Below are 18,490 nucleotides of genomic sequence, written 5' to 3' on the forward strand. Positions count from 1 at the left end.
GAAGAGGGCGGGGCCAAGAATACACCCCCGGAATGCGCAGTCGGGAGAACGGAATGGGCGGAACTCAGGGTGGGGCAACTTCCTATTTCGAGTCTAAAGTAATCTTGGTCTCTTCCGGCCGCCGTAAAGGGGTTGGGTTTAGTGTTCTCCCGCCAATTTAAGCCTGTGGCATGGAACCTAAAGACTAGAGGCGGTTGTGTGAGTCAGGAAGAGGGGCCAGATATCTGAGTGTTCCTCTTTAGTTTCTTCAATTGCAGGTGAGGACGGGGAGCTGCGCTGTGTAGGGAACTGGGGGTGGGTTCAGGACGAAGTAGCTGCAGCCTCTGCTCAGTTCCTGTTGTTTTCCCCTTGACGCTGGCAGGAGAGAGGTTGGAGTCGGTTTTTGCTGGCGGCGATGTCCAGCGGAGAGCGTTTAAGTATGGAGGCCTAACTGACAAGTGTTTCATCTTGCTCATTCTCTCGTATTCGCGAATCTGTTCTGCATTCCGCCGCCAGAGTGATCTCAAAATTATAAAATCAGACCACTCGTTTGCTGAGTTCCCCTTCTACCCCTTGTACTGAGAATAAAATTCAATCTTGAGGTCGAGGTTTTATTGGACTCCACTGCTCTCTCCCTCACTGTCTTCTGCTTTTGCTTTGACCCGGCAGCAGCATCAAACGCTTCCTACCCAGCCTCCGAGTCTTTGCACTCTGTTCCCTCTGCCTACGTCGCGTTCCGCCTAAGTTTTGCGTACTTCTTGTTATTCAGGTCTCAGCTCAGATGTCACCTCCTTCCCTTCCCAAACAAATCCTTCTTCAGCGACGCCTCACCTTATCCATTTAATCACTGTTTCCTTCAAATCATTTAGCACTTTTTGTAATTATTTGTGCAGTTGCTTTTTTGTGGAGGTAGCATAACAAGATACGTATTAACAATTTTATTTTTGTCCGTTTTTCCCGCAAAAACATAAACTTCATAATGGCAAAGACATTTTGTGTTCTGTTCAAGCTATATTCCCAGTTCCTAGAAAGGTGTCTGGCACATAGTAAATAGGTATTCAATAAACATTTGTTGAATAAGTAAATATGGCAGTTACGGGCGGTTTCTCTATTTCACAGATGTGGGAAATTGAGACCCATAAAGGTATTCATTCCAACCTGTCCCTCCTTCTTCATCTCCTCACTCCCACCCAAACACCAGCCACTGAAACTTCTCTATTCTCCAAACATGTTTTGTTTCTGTTCCCTTGCTTATGCTCTTAGGAAGAACTCTTTAAACATTTATAAAACTATGATCTTCAATTCTCAGCCCAATAACAAATTAGCTAACACCTAAAATTGAATGTTTGCCATCAACCAAGCATTGTTCTGTGAACATTTAAAACTCAAAACATTTGGAGGCTGAAGCAGAAGGATTGCTTGAGCCCAGGAGATCAAGGCCAGCCAGGGCAAAATAGTGAGACCCTCGTCTCTCAAAAAACCAGAAGTGAAAAATAGAAAACTCCTTCAGGTGGGTACAACTAAATTAGTCCCTTGGTATTGGTATCCATGGGAGATTGGTTCCAGGACCTCCCACAGATACCAAAACCCTAGGATGCTTAAGTCCCTGTCATTAAATGGCATAGTATTTGCATGTAGCCTAGGAACATCTGCCTGTATACTTTAAATCATCTCTTGATTTCTTATCTTGCGTAACAGTGTAAATGTGCTATGCCTGTAGGTGCAATCTAGGGATGTGGAACACATGGATATTGACGGCAAACTGTATATATATATTTTTTTTCCAAGACGGAGTTTCACTCTTGTTGCCCAAGCTGGAGTGCAAGTGGCACGATCTCGACTTACTGCAACCTCCGCCTCCCGGGTTCAAGCAATTCTACAGCCTCAGCCTCCTGAGTAGCTGGGATTACAGGCGCACACCACCACGCCCGGCTAATTTTTTGTGTTTTTAGTAGAGAGGGGGTTTCGTCATGTTGGCCAGGCTGGTCTCAAACTCCTGACCTCAGATAATCCACCTGCCTAAGCCTCCCAAAGTTCTGGGATTACAGGTGTGAGCCACCGCGCCGGCCTGGTCTGTATATTCCTATTTTATAAATTAGAGAATTGAGGAACAGAAAGATTAAGTGATCACCCAAGGACAGCTGCCTAGTCATTGTGAAAGAGCACCAAGTCAGAAATTGTTTCTACCTTGTGCTATACCTTTTATAGATATTGAAACATACTTCTAGTAGCACTTATGAAACCAATTGTAATTATTTGATTATCATTCCCTACCAGTCTTGATCCAAGGATTGTTTTTATCCTTAGTGTTCTTTTCCCACCCAGACTCCAGGTAATATGGTTTATGTAAACCTTTGCTTTTTGAGATGGGTAAACCTCATAAGGTTTCAAGCTTAGTCTTTGATCCAGAAACCTAATTCATTTTTTTCTCCTCCCCTTATCATTTTTATTTGTTGTATAATAATACTATGATAGCATCAATGGACTTTTTCTGAACTTCATCTGGAATCTTATCATCCTATGATATCCCTGACAATCTGGCATCTAAACCTACACTGTTTGCTGCTATTAAAGGTTTATTTCTAATGAAAGGTTTATTTCTAATGAAAACTTGGTATAATTAAAGGTTTATTTCTAATGAAAACTTGGTATAATTCCAAACTAGACACACAAAGTAATGGAAGCTCTAAGATACATTGGTAAGATCAGAATTGTTGGTTTGTGTGCATAAACCAATATGTTGTTCTCTGGTAACCATCATAGCTCTAGTTCCATTTATGTTATTGGCCCGAAGTGTTTAGTGGCCACAGCAATAACAAGAAGACTAAGATGTCTGTATATGTTAATGTTAGACTTTTGTTTTTGTTTTGTGAGTAAGCTTTATCATTTCCCAAGGAACCAGGTTCTATGCAACAAGATAATATGGTGTCTAATTTTATGTTGTTCAGGAAAGACAGTGGTTCCTGACTCAGGAAGACAGTCTCAGAAACATGTGGAATGATATTGAGCTGCTAACAAATGATGATACCGGAAGTGGGTACCTGAGTGTCGGTTCAAGAAAAGAACATGGAACTGCTTTATATCAAGTAGATTTGCTAGTGAAGATCTCTTCTGAAAAGGTAGTGATTATTACACTGACTGTTTCATTCACAGAATTTTTACTGAGTGCTTAGTAGGGCTAGTGGCCCACAGTAAATATTTTGTGAATGAACATAGCACTTCCTCAGGGAATCAAGATTCAATCTCAGATTGCTAGAAATTCACGTCTGAATACCCTCTGCATCATGTCAGGATCAGTATTTTCACAACTGAAGGATTCTTAGTTCCTCTTGATATTTCATGCATACAAAAATATGTGTAAGTTGATACAAAGGATATCTTTTTTTTTTTTTTTTGAGACAGATTCTTACTCTGTCACCCAGGCTGGAGTGCAGTGGTGTGATCACGGCTCACTGCAATCTCTGACTCCCAGATTCAAGTGATTCTCGTGCCTCAGCCTCCCAAGTAGCTGAGATTACAGTTGTGTGCCACCATGCTCAGCTAATTTTTTGTATTTTTGTAAAGATGGGGTTTCTCCATGTTGGCCAGGCTGGTCTTGAACTCCTGGCCTCAAGAAATCCACCCACCTCAGCCTCCCAAAGTGCTGGGATTACAGGTGTGAGCCATCACTCCCGGCATACAAAGAATATCTACGACTGACTTAGGAAATAAAATGTTACAAATAGAGTTGAAGGCTCTGAGGGTCCATCCCTGAATCTGTGTTCCTCCTGTTTCCTACCAGAGTCAAGCACCCTGCTGAGTATGAGGTTTATCCGTGCATTTCTTTCTACATTTTAACTTTCTTCTGTCAGTAATTGCACCATTCTTGCTTCATGCCTGAAACCTTATTCTTTGCATTCTATAGAAGGTACTATTAGCTGGGTGTGGTGGCATGCACATGTAGTCCCAGCTACTTGGGAGGCTGGTATTTAATTCTTTTTTTTTTTTAATAAAAGAAATTTTTTTTCACTCAAATGGAATCTGACAGATAAGGCAGGGCATCCACTGTGGACGTTATTCCTAAAGGGAATTAAATGTATGCTTTTGACTTTTTTTTTTAAACTGGCTGATGGGATTTTAAAAAGAAATCATTCTTTATGCAGCTTTAAGCTGGTGTCTGTGGAACTGTGCTGCTTTTTCTTGCTGTGGTGCTATCTCGGCTCGGCTCACTGCAACCTCTGCCTCCTGGGTTCAAAAAATTCTCCTGTCTCAATTTCCCAAGTAGCTGGGATTACAGGTGTGTGCCACCATGCTACTAAAAATTTTCGTATTTTTAGTAGAGATGGGGTTGCCCAGGCTGGTCTTGAACTCCTGGCCTCAAGTGATCCGCCTGCCTTGGCCTCCCAAAGTGCTGGGATTAAAGGCATGAGTCACTGTGCCTGATTTGTACCGCTTTAAATGTACCATGAATCATGTTAAAGGCAGTATAATCCAACAATAAGATAATTAGTATAAGATAAACATTAATTATGAGTAGTACAAATCTCATTGTATTTTTTGTCATTATTTATTAGAGGCAAAAATTTCAAGTGCAGCATTTCTTTTTTTTAAATTTTTTGAATCCTTCGAGACATCTGAAAGCACAGTTTCTATAATGAGGAAATGACGTCTATTTTTTAGTATTTTTGTTCGTTTGTTTGAGATGGAGTCTTGCTCTGTCGCCCAGGCTGGAGTACAGTGGCATGATCTCAGCTCACTGCAAGCTCTGCCTCCCAGGTTCACGCCATTCTCCTGCCTCAGCCTCTCAAGTAGCTGGGACTACAGGCGCCCGCCACTATGCCCAGCTAATTTTTTGTATTTTTAGTAGAGACGGGGTTTCACCATGTTAGCCAGGATGGTCTCGATCTCCTGACCTCGTGATCCGCCCGGCTCGGCCTCCCAAAGTGCTGGGATTACAGGCTTGAGCCACCGCACCCGGCCATTTGTTTTTTTTTTTTTTAAGAGAGACTCTCACTCTGTAGCCCAGGCTGGAGTACAGTGATGTGATATTGACTCATTACAACCTCCCACTCCTGGATTCAAGTGATTCTCCTGCCTCAGCCTCTGGAGTAGCTGGGATTATAGGCGCCTGCCACCACGCCTGGCTAATTTTTCTTTTTTTTTTTTTTTTTTTTTGAGACGAACTCTTGCTCTGTCACCAGGCTGGAGTGCAGTGGCGTGATCTTGGCTCATTGCAACCTCCGCCTCCTGGGTTCAAGCGATTCTTCTGCCTCACCCTCCCGAGTAACTGGGAATACAGACACGAGCCACCACACCCAGCTAATTTTTGTGTTTTTAGTAGAGATGAGGCTTCACCATGTTGAGCAGGATGGTCTCGATCTCTTGACCTTGTGATCCACCCACCTCGGCCTCCCAAAGTTCTGGGATTACAGGTGTGAATCACTGTGCCCGGGCTTTATTTTTTAATATTATCAGGAGCCTTAAAACGTGGAAGTGGCTCAGGCCTTTCTTGACCTCAAGGTTGCTGTTGAAAAATAATAGTGCATGTGTATAGAATCTTGGATTCTGGTAGGAACTAAAATTCTATCTATTATTAGCACGTGGCATACACTTACCAACATGTTTTGAACATCTGCTATGTTCTGAGCCCAATATTAGGAACTTGGACATAAGATGGCATCTTATTCATTCCTTTTAGGATCTTACCTTAAAGTTAGGCACACAGGACACAAACAATAAAAGATGCTTAGCTGTGCAAGTCAGTATATGCTAAATGCCAAATGAACAGTACAGACAGTAAATGAGTAGGAATTCAGTGGCTGGAGAGCTCATTGTCGGTTGGGCAGTTTAAGGAGCATTTCCTTAAGAAACTATGTGTGAGCCCGGTGTGGTGGCATGTCCTGTAGTCCCAGCTACTCAGGCTGAGGCAGGAGAATGGCGTGAGCCCAGGAGTTTGAGGCCAGCCTGGGCAACATAGGGAGACAACATCTCTAAAAAAAATAAAAATTAAAATAAACTACACTTGCTTTGGGCCTTAAGAAGGAGAACAGTCTAGAGAGAAGAGTCTAGAGAGAACAGTGTGGACAGATCCCTAGAAGATATAGTGCCGTTCCTTTTCTTTTTTTTTTTTTTGAGGCAGAGTCTTGCTCTGTTGCCCAGGCTGGAGTGCAGTGGTGTGATCTTGGCTCACTGCAACCTCTGCCTCTCGGGTTCAAGTGATTCTCGTGCCTCAGCCTCCCCAGTAGCTGGGATTACATGCGTCCGCCACCACGCCCGGCTAATTTTAGTGCCATTCCTTGTTGGCAGTGCCTTCATGTAACCTTTTACTAGTTGAAGAAGCAAGTAAAAAGATAAGAAGGAGGCTGGGCGCAGTGCCTCACATTTGTATTCCCGGCACTTTGGGTGGTTGGGATGGAAGGATCGTTTGAGTCCAGGAGTTCTAGACCAGCCTGGCCAACACAGTGAAAACCCCGTCTCTATAAAAGAAAAAGAAAATTAGCCAGGTGTGATGGTGTGCATGTGTAGTCCCAGCTACTTGGGTTGGGGAGGCACGAAGATCCCTTGAGCCCAGGTGTTTAAGGCTGCAGTGAGTTATGATGGCATCACTGCATTCCAACCTGAGCGACAGAGGGAGACCCTGTCTCAAAATAAAGAAAAAAATAAGGTAGAAGAGGGATCAGAATGTTGGGGAATTTTCAAGGATTACACCTGGAGAAGATGACTTTTGAAATAGTCATAAAATGAGGTGATTAGCTGTATTTTGTCAGGGAAGAATAGGACTGGTTAACATTTATTGAGCATATACTATGTGCAGGGCTCTCTCATAAGCCCTTTACGTGAATTCGTTTAATCTTTATTCAGGTGAACCTTGTAGGTATTATTATTGTTACTCTTTTACATGGAGTTAGTTGATGCATTTGCCTAAGATCACTTAGCTAGTAAGGGACTGAGCTTCCTCAACCACTAATCTGTCCCAGTGCTTCAAGACAGCTATGTGTGGGAGGCTCTTGGCAACAGAAACTGAATACTGGAGACTCTGATTTGGCTTGTCTACTGTTTTTAAAAATGTTGGCTTAGCTGCCAATATTTAAAAATCAGAACATTTCACATAAAGATCCAGCTTCTGTTGATGAATTGGGAGGTATGGCCATGCCAGTGCTGCATCCCCACCAGGCTTCCCACTGGCTGGTGTGAAGTAGACTCTATTCTTTCATGTCTGTGGGGGCATGGACCCTCCAGTTCACAGTTCACCACCGTTCCCCTGCCTAGCGTATCCACGACACCAAGACTTTATTCCAATCTTGATTAATTCATTATGTTAATACCTGGCTCCTGCAGCATAAAGTCAATCCTGAGGAAACAAGGACTTGAACATGAGAATCCTTTGCCCTTCCTGCTCATCCTGAACTGTTTTTCTACTTAGGATCCTGGATGGATTCAAGATATACCATACAAAGAAAAACTCGATGATTAATTAGATAGAGGGGCTAAAGAAAAAAAGCCTGTCAAGTTTTAAAGTGGGATATTTGGGAATTTGATGATACTATTGATAAGTATTATTAAACACATATAAAAATGTTTGAATTTTCATCATGCTTTTCTCTCCCACAGGCCTCATTAAATCCAAAGATACAGGCATGCAGCTTAAGTGATGGGTTTATTATTGTAGCCGACCAATCAGTGATATTGCTTGACAGTATTTGTAGATCACTTCAATTGCATCTTGTCTTTGGTAAGTATAATGTAGTGAATGAAGTAAGATAAATTGGAAGTCAAATACATCTGCTGCCAATTTCTGCTGGATTGCCTCCTCTTTACTCCATTATTTCTAAGATTTCAAATTAGACCAATTTCAAGTAATTAAGCTTGAGTGCTTAGTGCCTTATTTGCGTTGGGCACTAGAGTCAAAGGACACTGAGATGATCCCTTCTCTCAATACATCTGAGGGGAAATACACATGTAAAGCAACAACTTAGTTTACTTGCTTGTATTAGAATACTATGGAAAACATGAGCTCATTTGTGTTCAAATTCCTGAATCTTGTACAGAATTTCGGTATCATTAATGGGTATTTGCATATTTTTAGAATTAATAGCTCTCTAAAAATCCTTTAACATACTTATGAATTAATTCTTCATCGAGCTACAAGGCTTCAAGTACATGCAAATGTGGATTTGAGAGTGAATTAAAGCTGGGCGTGGTGGCTCATGCCTGCAATCCCAGCACTTTGGGAGGCTGAGGCCACCAGATCACTTGCGGTCAGGAGTTCAAGACCAGCCTGGCCAACATGGTGAAACCCCATTTCTACTAAAAATACAAAAATCACACCTGTAATCCTTGTACTTTGGAAGGCCCAGGTGGGTGGATTGCCTGAGCTCAGGGGTTTGAGACCAGCCTGGGCAACATGGTGAAATCCCGTTTTCTCTACTAATATACAAAAATTAGCTGGCCGTGCTGGTGTGCGCCTATAGTTCCAGCTACTCGGGAGGCTGAGGTAGGAGAATTGCTTGAACCTGGGAGGTGGAGGTTGCAGTGAGCCAAGATCACTCCACTACACTCCAGCCTGGGTGACAGAGCAAAACTCTGTCTCCAAAAACAACAACAACAACAAAAATTAGCTGGGCATGGTGGCATACACCTGTAATCCCAGCTACTCAGGAGTCTGAGGCAGGAGAATCGCTTGATCCCAGGAGGCAGAGGTTGCAGTGAGCCAAGATTATGCCACTATACTCTAGCCTGAGTGACAGAGTGACAGTCGTGTCTCAAAAACAAAAAAAAGAGTGAATTAAGGGGTAAGTCAGTGATTGTACTGAGCTTAGGCAAGAATATTATGAAAGTTTTTTTTTTTTTTTTTTGAGATGGAGTCTCTCTCGCTCTGTCACCCAGGCTGTAGTGCAGTGGCACAATCTCGGCTCACTGCAAGCTCTGCCTCCCGGGTTCACACCATTCTCCTGCCTCAGCCTCCTGAATAGCTGGGACTACAGGCGCCCACCACCATGCCTGGGCAATTTTTTGTATTTTTTTTTTTTTTTAGTAGAGACAGCATTTCACCATGTTAGCCAGGATGGTCTCGATCTCCTGACCTTGTGATCTGCCTGCCTCGGCCTCCCAAAGTGCTGGGATTATAGGCATGAGCCACGACACCCGACCCCGAAAGTTTTTTCTTTCTTGAGTAGAAATTTTTTTTTTTTTTGAGATGTAGTCTCGCACTGTCGCCTAGGCCGGAGTGTGGTGGCATGATGTCAGCTCACTGCAACCTCCGCCTCCAGGGTCCAAGCAATTCTCCTGCCTCAGCCTCCCAAGTATCTGGGACTACAGGCACCCATCACCACGCCCTGCTAATCTTTTTTTGTATTTTTAGAAGAAACAGGGTTTCACTATGTTGGCCAGGCTGGTCTCAACCTCATGATCTGCCCGCCTCGGCCTCCTGAAGTGTTGGGATTACAGACGTGAGCCACCGTGCCAGGCCTTTTTTTTTTTTTTCCCTGAGACAGTCTCGCTCTGTGGCCCAGGCTGGAGTGCAGTGGTGCTCTCTCAGCTCACTGCAACCTCCACCTCCCAGGTTCAAGAGATTCTTCTGCCTCAGCCTCCCAAGTAGCTGGGAGTACAGGCGCCTGCCACCATGCCTGGTAATTTTTGTATTTTTAGTAGGGTCAGGTTTCACCATGTTGGCCAGGCTGCTCTCAAATTCCTGACCTCAAATGATCCACCCACCTTGGCCTCCCAAAGTGCTGGGATTACAGGCGTGAGCCACTGCACCCGGCCATTAAATAGAAATTTTAAGAGAAAGATAGTTGTTGAAACTTTTACATAAGAACTTAGACAACTGAAAAGGAAACAGAACACATGCATTTTGGAACATATCTTGATTGCAACATGGAGGCAAGAAACTTGTGTTTTATGGAACCTTGACGTATTGACCCTGATTGGTCCACAAGATTCACAGTTTCTTCTATTAAGTGGTGGGATGAGTAACGATGATCCATTTGTGAAAAGACATTGTGGCGGAATAACTTGAGTTCGTAAGCCAGTTACATACTATTGTTTTTCTGTCTTGTCCCTTCCCTCTTTGCTTTGTTTTCTGTTACCTTGGCCTTCTTGCTTTTGCATGAATACAACAGGCACTTCCCACTCCATGATCTTTCCTTGAGCTGTGTCCACCATCTGAATGCTCGGAATGCTCTTCATCTTAGTCATTTGGCTAACTTCCTCACCTCTTTCATGTCTCCTGTGAGCTTTCTAATTAACACTGCAAAATGCACCATTCTTCTGAGCTCTCTTACCTGGCTCTACATTTTTTTCCCCAGAACATCTATCACCTTCTTACATGTCTCACAGTTTGTTTATTATGCTAATTGTTTATCAGCTATTTTTTTTTTTTTTTGAGACGGAGTCTGGCTCTGTTGCCTAGGCTGGAGTGCAGTGGCGTGATTTCAGCTCACTGCAGCCTCCACCTCCTGGGTTCAAGCGATTCTCCTGTCTCAGCCTCCTGAGTAGACTGGATTACAGGCACATGCCACCATGTCCGGCTAATTTTATATTTTTAGTAGAGACGGAGTTTCACCATGTTGGCCAGGCTGGTCTCGAACTCCTGACCTCAAGTGATCTGCCTGCTTCGGCCTCCCAAAGTGCTGGGGTTACAGGTGTGAGCCACCACGCCTGGTCATTTATCAGCTATTTCTGTCTTAGAATATGAGCTCTGTGACGGTGGTAATCTTTTGTTACTGTTCTCAGATATATGTAAAAGGCCTAGAACAAAGTTTACCATATAGTAAGTGCTCAGTAAATATTTCTTGACCAGCTGCATGCAGTGGCTCACATCTGTAACCTCAGCACTTTGGGAGGCAGAGATGGACAATCGCTTGAGCTCAGGAGTTCGAGACCAGTCTGGGTAACATGGCAAAACCTCGTCTGTACAAAAAATACCAAAAACTAGCTGGCCATAGTGGTGTGTACCTGTGGTCCCAGCTACCTGGGAGGCTGAGGTGGGAGAATTGCCTGACTGAGCCCAGGAAGTCTAGGGTGCAGTGAACTGGGGTGGTACCACTGCACTCCAGCCTGGGTAGCAGAGCGAGACGCTGTCTCAAAAACAAAACAAAACAAAAAATATTTGTTGACTGAATAAAAGTCAACAACATTCTTTTTTACTTTCATCACATCTGTTTTGCAGTATTTAGAAGTAACTTAAGTAATCGTTGGCTTTTTAATGAGAAAAATTTGTATTTTTTTTGTATTGAAAATAAAGATTTTCGAAGGAAGCTTGTAACTTTGATTTGAAATTTTCAGATACTGAAGTGGATGTAGTTGGCCTTTGTCAAGAAGGAAAGTTTCTTTTGGTTGGCGAGAGAAGTGGCAACCTACATCTTATTCATGTAACATCAAAACAAACACTACTCACTAATGTAAGATCTTGTTGTATTTTAATTTTCATTATTTAAATTCTAAATAATCTCTTAGACAACTAAAACTCTAGCAAACTATTACTTAACATGTGTTTTAAATTAAAGCAATGTTTTTTTGAACAATTAAGCTTTGAAGGTGTTACCACAGCTTGGATCCTGAGTTCTTGGCTCTCGTGTAAATAGAAATTAACACCAGGTCAAACAGAAATTTTCCCAGGGAATGTTTAGTAGGCTTGTGGCTCAAGGAATCTCAAGGAAACAGCGTATGGGAAAGGGATCCCAAGTGCTAGCTCCCCGAAGGGCTTAGCTCTTGTCATTTTGAGGAAGCTGAGGTGAAAAAGGGAGTGATTTGTAGGCATGTAGAGGCAGGGAACTTTTAGCGCCTGTGAATTTTGGTCGCATCCTTTTTCATGTGTTGTATATCTCACTAGCATGTTAAATCTCCATCCCTGGGTGTGATTTTTAGTATCATAATTAGGTTAAAATTAGGAAATACTTGGTGAAAGGCCAGGGTTGAAGTCCACCTTGTCTTCAGCTGGCTGGATCTGGTCAGGTGCTTAGCAGGACTGCTAGAATCCTGATTTAGTAACCTTGGAAGATGGTCAGGTTTTTATTAGGAATGCTAGAGTCCCACTTTAACAACTTTGGGAGAAGTAACTCCAGGAGACAAATGGTTAGGTTCTTGTATGGTTGGGAATTCAGCTTGGTCAGCTAACTCAGGAGCAGGCAGCTTTCTGCTGTTTGATTCCAGTCAGCTTGTTAAGGGAGGCAGGAAGGTAGAGGAGGGAATGCCCAGACATATGAAGCCTTTGGGGTCTTGGTTACCATGTCTCTTGCCTGCCAGGATTGAGTTTCTTCCCTATACTGAATGGTATTTTAAATTAAAAAAATGTTTTTTTGAAAAATTAAGCTTTGAAGGTGTTACCACAGCTTGGATCCCGAATTCTTGGCTCTCACATAAATAGAAATTAGCACCAGGTCAAACAAAAATTTTCTTAGGCCAGGTTTAGTAGGCTTGTGGCTCAAGGAATCGCAAGGGAGCAGTCTTGAAGGTATTTAGTACACTTGTCCAAAATAGTTTTCCATTTTAAAAGTAAGATGTTTAGAATATAGGCAGAATTATTGCTAATGATAATTGATAACTCTAGAGTTTAAAGAATAAAATCCTTGATTGTATTTTTCTATGTTTAATTTTATTATTTGAAATTAATTTGCATTTAGGCATTTGTTCAGAAAGCTAACGATGAAAATCGGCGGACTTACCAGAATCTTGTCATTGAGAAGGATGGTTCAAATGAAGGTAAGTTTTCCTGAATTTTTTTTTGAATGACTTTTTTTTTTTTTTTTAATGGAGTCTCCCTTTGTCGCCCAGGCTGGAGTGCAGTGGCGCAATCTCAGGTCACTGGAACCACCAGCTCCCAGGTTCAGGCGTCTCCTGCCTCAGCCTCCTGAGTAGCTGGGATTACAGGTGTGTGCCACCACGCCCGGCTAATTTTTGTATTTTTAATAGAGATGGAGTTTCACCATGTTGGCCAGGCTGGTCTCAAGCTCCTGACCTCAAGTGAGTGATCCACCTGCCTCGGCCTCCCAAAGTGCTGGGATTACAGGCGTGAGCCACTGCGCCCAGCCTGAATGACTTCTGACTAATATCCAATCAAAAATTCAAATTTGTGGTTAATAAATTATATAAAATCATTATTATGCTACCTACATTTTTTCTGTTTTTTTTTTTTTTGAGACGAAGTGTCCCTCTTGTCCCCCAGGCTGGAGTGCAATGGCACGACCTCGGCTCACTGAAACCTCTGCCTCCTGAGTTCAAACGATTCTCCTGCCTCAGCCTCCCGAGTAGCTGGGATTACAGGCACCTGCCACCACGCCTGGCTAATTTTTTGTTTTTAGTAGAGATGGGGTTTCACCATGTTGGCTAGGCTGGTCTTGAACTCCTGACCTCAGGTGATCTGCCCGCCTCAGGTGATCTGCCTGTGAGCCACTGTGCCTGGCCTTTTCTGTATTTTTTATACATTTTTTTCTATCAATGCAATTAATATTGTAAGAAACAATTTTTAAATTTTTGAAAAAAATTTTTAAAGCTCTTTTTAGATGTTTAAATATATACTTTTCCTAAATATAATATTCTGAACTTGTTTTTACAGTTTTGAGATTTCTATAGGTTACCAAGGAGACATTATATTCTTTTAAAATGTGTTTCTGGGCTTCAGTATATTATTATATTTTTACTTCAACAAGTGTTAACTGGGCCTTAGTTTATTTTGATATATCTGAGATTTTTTTTTCTGGCACATGAAGTTTGTTGTTTTAATAAAAGTTTCAAAAGAAGTTAACAATGTTTTTGCAAATAACCTACTAGTTCTTTGTAAATAAGTTTTATCTGTAACATTACTATAATATTTGATCATTAGAATTTAAATGAGCAGGCTGTGTGTGGTGGCTCACATCTGTAATTCTAGCACTTTAGGAGGCTGAGGTGGGAGCATTGCTTCAGTCTAGGAGCTCGAAACCAGCCTGGATAATATAGAGAGACCGCCACCTCTACAAAAAATAAAAAATTAGCCACATGTGTTGGTGTGTGTCTGTAGTCCCACTTTCTCAGGAGGCTGAGTTGGGAGGATCTCTTGGGCCTGCAGTGAGCTGCGATCGCTGCACTGCAGTGTCTGGCCTGCGAGTGCAGGCCATTGCACTCCAGCCTGGGAGATAGATTGAGACCCTGTCTCAAAAACAAAAAACAAAAAAAAAACCTTCAAATTGACATATTTTTAAGGTAGTTCCAGATACTGTTTGTTTGTGCTTGCCTGCCTGCCTGCCTGCCTGCCTGCCTTCCTTCCTTCCTTCCTTCCTTCCTTCCTTCCTTCCGTCCTTCCTCTGTCTCTCCCTCTCTTTTTTTTTTTTTCTGAGATGGAGTCTCACTCTGTCACCCAGGCTGGAGAGCAATGACGCAATTTCAGCTCACTGCAACCTCCACTACCCGGGTTCAAGCAATTCTCCTGCCTCAGCCTCCTGAGTAGCTGGGACTACAGGCACGCACCACCACAACCAGCTAATTTTTATATTTTTAGTAGAGACGGGGTTTCACCATGTTGGTCAGGCTGGTCTCGAGCTCCTGACCTCGTGATCTACCTGCCTTGGCCTCCCAAAGTGTTGGCATTACAGGCGTGAGCCACTGCGCCCCGCCTCTTTCTGTCTTTCTCTCTTTCTTCAAAAGCCACGTTCAAACAGACACTGGTTTAAATTTTATATCCATGTGCCTTTTAAAGTAACTGATTCCCAGCCGTGAGCAGTGGCTCAGGCCTGTAATCCCAGCACTTTGGGAGGCTGAGGCAAGCAGATCATGAGGTCAAGAGATCAAGACCATCCTGGCCAACATGGTGAAACCCTGTCTCTACTAAAAATACAAAAATTAGCTGGGCATGGTGGTGCACGCCTGTAGTCCCAGCTACTTGGGAGGCTGAGGCAGGAGAATTGCACCCTAGAGGCGGAGGTTGCAGGGAGCCGAGATCGCGCTGCTGCACTCCAGCCTAGCGACAGAATGAGACTCCATCTCAAAAAAAAGAAACTGATTCTGATTTTATTTCAATAGGTACCTATTATATGCTACTTCTTACATACAGTGGATTTTTTTGTATTACAAACCTTCAGCTTTTAAAAATTCAACAAGGTAAGTAATACATTATATTTTTATTATTGATTTGCAGCAATATTTACTAGTTTTATTAATGTAATAGTAAAATTTTAAGTACTCTCTTTAAGCTTATTTTATCTTACTTGTATTTAGTTATAATTGGGTATACTGTTAAGTATTCAGAATACAGTTATTCTCCTCTGTTAGAGCTGGAACAGTATCTGAATAAATGTAATTTTGATATGGCCTTCAAGGAGCTTAGTTTGGGGAGATAAGCTTCAACAGTTTAGTTGGGGAGACAAGACATATGCTAGCACAATAGTAAATACTTTTTAATGTGGTGGATGAACCTGGAAATGGAAATGACTATGTAGTGTTAATAGTGCAGAACAGGGCTGGCGTGGTGGCTCATGCCTGTAATCCTGGCACTTTGGGAGGCCAAGGCGGGCAGATCACCTGAGGTTGGGAGTGCAAGACCAGCCTGACCAACATGAAGAAACCCTGTCTCTACTAAAAATACAAAATTAGCCAGACAGGGTGGCAGGCGCCTGTAATCCCAGCTAGTCGGGAAGCTGAGGCAGGAGAATAATTTGAACCCAGGAGGCAGAGGTGCGGTGAGCTGAGATCACGCTGTTGCACTCCAGCCTGGGCAGCAAGAGCGAAACTCTGTCTCAAAAAAAAAAATATATAGTGCAGAACAATAATGTAAAATATGTTTTAAGCTAGTAGTCTGGACCATTTATCCCTCTAAGCCAAGTGAAATTATTTGAGGAATGGATTTGGAACAGGTATTTAACATTTTGTTTTATTTTATTATTTTTATTTATTTATTTATTTTTGAGATGGAGTCTTGCTCTGTCGCCCAGGCTGGAGTACAGTGGTATGATATCGGCTCACTGCAACCTCCGCTTCCCAGGTTCAAGTGATTCTTGTGCCTCAGTCTCCCAAGTAACTGGGATTACAGGTGCGCACCACCACACCTGGCTAATTTTTGTATTTTTACTAGAGGCGGGGTTTCACCATGTTGGCCAGGCTGGTCTCGAACTCCTCACGTCAAGTGATTTGCCCGTCTTGGCCTCCCAAAGTGCTGGGATTGTAGGCATGAGCCACTGCGCCCGGCCTAAGTGATATTTTTAAAATACTGACTTGCCAGGCCTGTGCTACGTCTTGGGTATATGACAAGATTGAAGATTTGTTTTCCATAGCTTCATGATGGAGCTAGAAACGTAAGAGCTATTCCAAACAGTGAGAAGCACAGGAGAGTTGGAGTAGGGAGAAGATCCCCTTAGTAGGAAGAGAGGTGGTAAGGGTAGGTATGGAGAGGTACTGGCTGGTGCCCTGAATCTAACATGTCACAGTTAGCGTATTTTGGTCAGGGGCAAAACTTAATTCTCACCAGTGTTCTTTGAACTAGATTGTATTTAATTTCACCTTGACACAAAACAGGTGACTTGTATTATTTTGTAGATTAATACTATACATTTAGCCTGCTTTCTTTTTTAATGCAGCAATTGAGAATGTAGACTTCAGTACAGCAAAAAAGGTAAGAAAATAAATCCATATTGTCCTCTTAAAAAAATTACATTTAATATTAATGTAGTAGAATGTTTCTGTATATAATTGGTCTACTTCTTGATATTTTAGAAATTATTATGATATAACATTTTAATAACATTTCTATTTAAAAATACATTTATGCCCGTAATCCCAGCACTTTGGGAGGCCAAGGGGGCGGATCACCTGAGGTCCGGAGTTCGAGACCAGCCTGACCAACTGGAGAAACCCCATCTCTACTAAAAAATACAAAATTAGCCGGGGGGTGGTGGCGCATGCCTGTACTCCCAGCTACTCAGGAGGCTGAGGCAGGGAATTACTTGAACTCGGGAGGCAGAGGTTGTGGTGAGCCGAGATTGCGCCATTGCACTCTAGCCTGGGCAACAAGAGCAAAACTCTGTCTCCAAAAAAAAAAAAAAAAATTTATAACTGATTGATATCAACTGATTTTAGTGATTTTATGGAGCATAAATATGTATTATATATATGACGTTGTTGTTTTTAATTTTGCAGTTACAAGGACAAATCAAGTCCAGTTTTATTTCTACTGAAAATTATCATACTCTTGGTTGTCTCAGTCTTGTGGCTGGAGATTTAGCAAGTGAAGTTCCTGTGATAATTGGGGTAATTGTTTTTATAAAGTTTTGTTTTTTGTTGCCTAAAGCATTTTCTCAGAAAAATGTTTTTGTTTTGGTTAAATTGCAAAATAATTTGTAACATATAACCGAAACAAGGAAATTATAAAATTAAGGTAATTAAAAATAACTCAATAAATAAATTTCTGTCTTGGAAAAAATATTGCATCTTTACTTTCCCTAGTCTTTACCTGAAAGTACAGCATTTTTTTCAATTATGAGAGCAGACAAAAACGATAGAAAACAAAACCAAAAAATTCCATTGTTACAGTACCTGTGACTTTGTCACTAATGGAAAAACAGCACATTATTGCAGCTGTCTTGAAATAAATATTTACACACCACTACTTCAAAATTATGGTCATCATAGTTTTTCTAATAGGAAGTGTAATTACTACTGGTGACATACTCACAGGGACTGCTGATTCTACTGCTTTTTGTTTTTTGGGGTTTTTGTGGCCTACATTCATAAGTGAAAGAAATTCTGTTTCAGATGGAGATTAGTGAAAATAAAGATGTAAATTTTTTGCCCATCCAGCTTCACAAATCCGTTGAATCTTGAAATAATTCAGGTTAAGAACCTTAGTGTTAGAGAATGGTCCTAAAGAGTAAAGTGTCTTTGATGTAATGCCTGCCTCCTAAGTGATTCTACGTTATTCTTAGTCTTGGCTAGCTAGGCTACTTGCAAGTTTTGTTATTAGTGAAATGGGAACGTGGACAAGGATGCACGTAGAAAAGCACAATTCATTCACAACCATTGGCATGTATACATTGCTGTATAATGTCTTATATCTCATGTTACATGTAAAAAGTAACATTTCATTATTGGTATGTCACTTCCAGTAACCCTGATCATAATTTCTTTAAATTTTGGGGGAAAATACCTAATGTTATATTCAAAGAATAGGCAGAAACTCAGTATAATTACGTTTACAACATTTTTACTTGCCAAATTTATATATTAAGAAGTAGTCAGCTGCGTGTCATGGCATGCTCCTATGGTCCCAGCTACTTGGGAAGCTGAGGCAGAAGAATTGCGTGAGCCCAGGAGTATCAGGCTGCAGTAGCTCTGATCACACCTGTGATCACCCCACTTCACTGCGGCCTGGCAACACAGTGAGATCCTGTCTCTAAAAAGAGAAGAAACAAAAAAGAGAGAAAAGAAGCAGTCATATTTCCACATTGAGCATATCTAATTTAACATTTCACCAGGGTTTCAAAGAATTTAAAATTAATATTTATAAATTTTTTTTCCAAATATCTGTGGTATTTTAATGAAAATACTTATCAAAGACTATATTTTA

At 41.8% G+C, this 18,490-nt stretch overlaps 1 protein-coding gene across 11 annotated transcripts in view, besides 1 other annotated feature; it reads left to right on the top strand.

The window, feature by feature from the left end:
• Positions 155-18,490, top strand: part of KNTC1 (kinetochore associated 1) — a 99,148-nt gene continuing 80,812 nt past the window's right edge. For 9 of the 11 annotated variants that reach the window (XM_006719706.3, XM_011539027.4, XM_017020254.3 and 6 more), the window contains exons 1-8: positions 155-257; positions 2,928-3,098; positions 7,570-7,690; positions 11,245-11,360; positions 12,582-12,660; positions 14,956-15,033; positions 16,506-16,540; positions 17,065-17,175. In XM_006719706.3, coding sequence (XP_006719769.1) covers positions 2,970-3,098; positions 7,570-7,690; positions 11,245-11,360; positions 12,582-12,660; positions 14,956-15,033; positions 16,506-16,540; positions 17,065-17,175 — 669 coding nt within the window. In that variant the 5' untranslated portion in view covers positions 155-257; positions 2,928-2,969. Of the gene's footprint in view, positions 258-2,896; positions 3,099-7,569; positions 7,691-11,244; positions 11,361-12,581; positions 12,661-14,955; positions 15,034-16,505; positions 16,541-17,064; positions 17,176-18,490 lie in introns of all 11 variants that reach the window. The other 2 variants (NM_014708.6, XM_017020255.3) reach the window with 2 other exon arrangements.
• Positions 2,089-2,188: an enhancer, noted in NCBI's record as "active region_7231". NCBI's record gives its function as "activates an Ori minimal core promoter by ATAC-STARR-seq in GM12878 lymphoblastoid cells {active_cell/tissue: GM12878}" and the evidence as "EXISTENCE:reporter gene assay evidence [ECO:0000049][PMID:35858748]".

This window comes from Homo sapiens, chromosome 12 (genome assembly GCF_000001405.40).
Source record: "Homo sapiens chromosome 12, GRCh38.p14 Primary Assembly".
NCBI classification, from domain to species: Eukaryota; Metazoa; Chordata; class Mammalia; order Primates; family Hominidae; genus Homo; species Homo sapiens.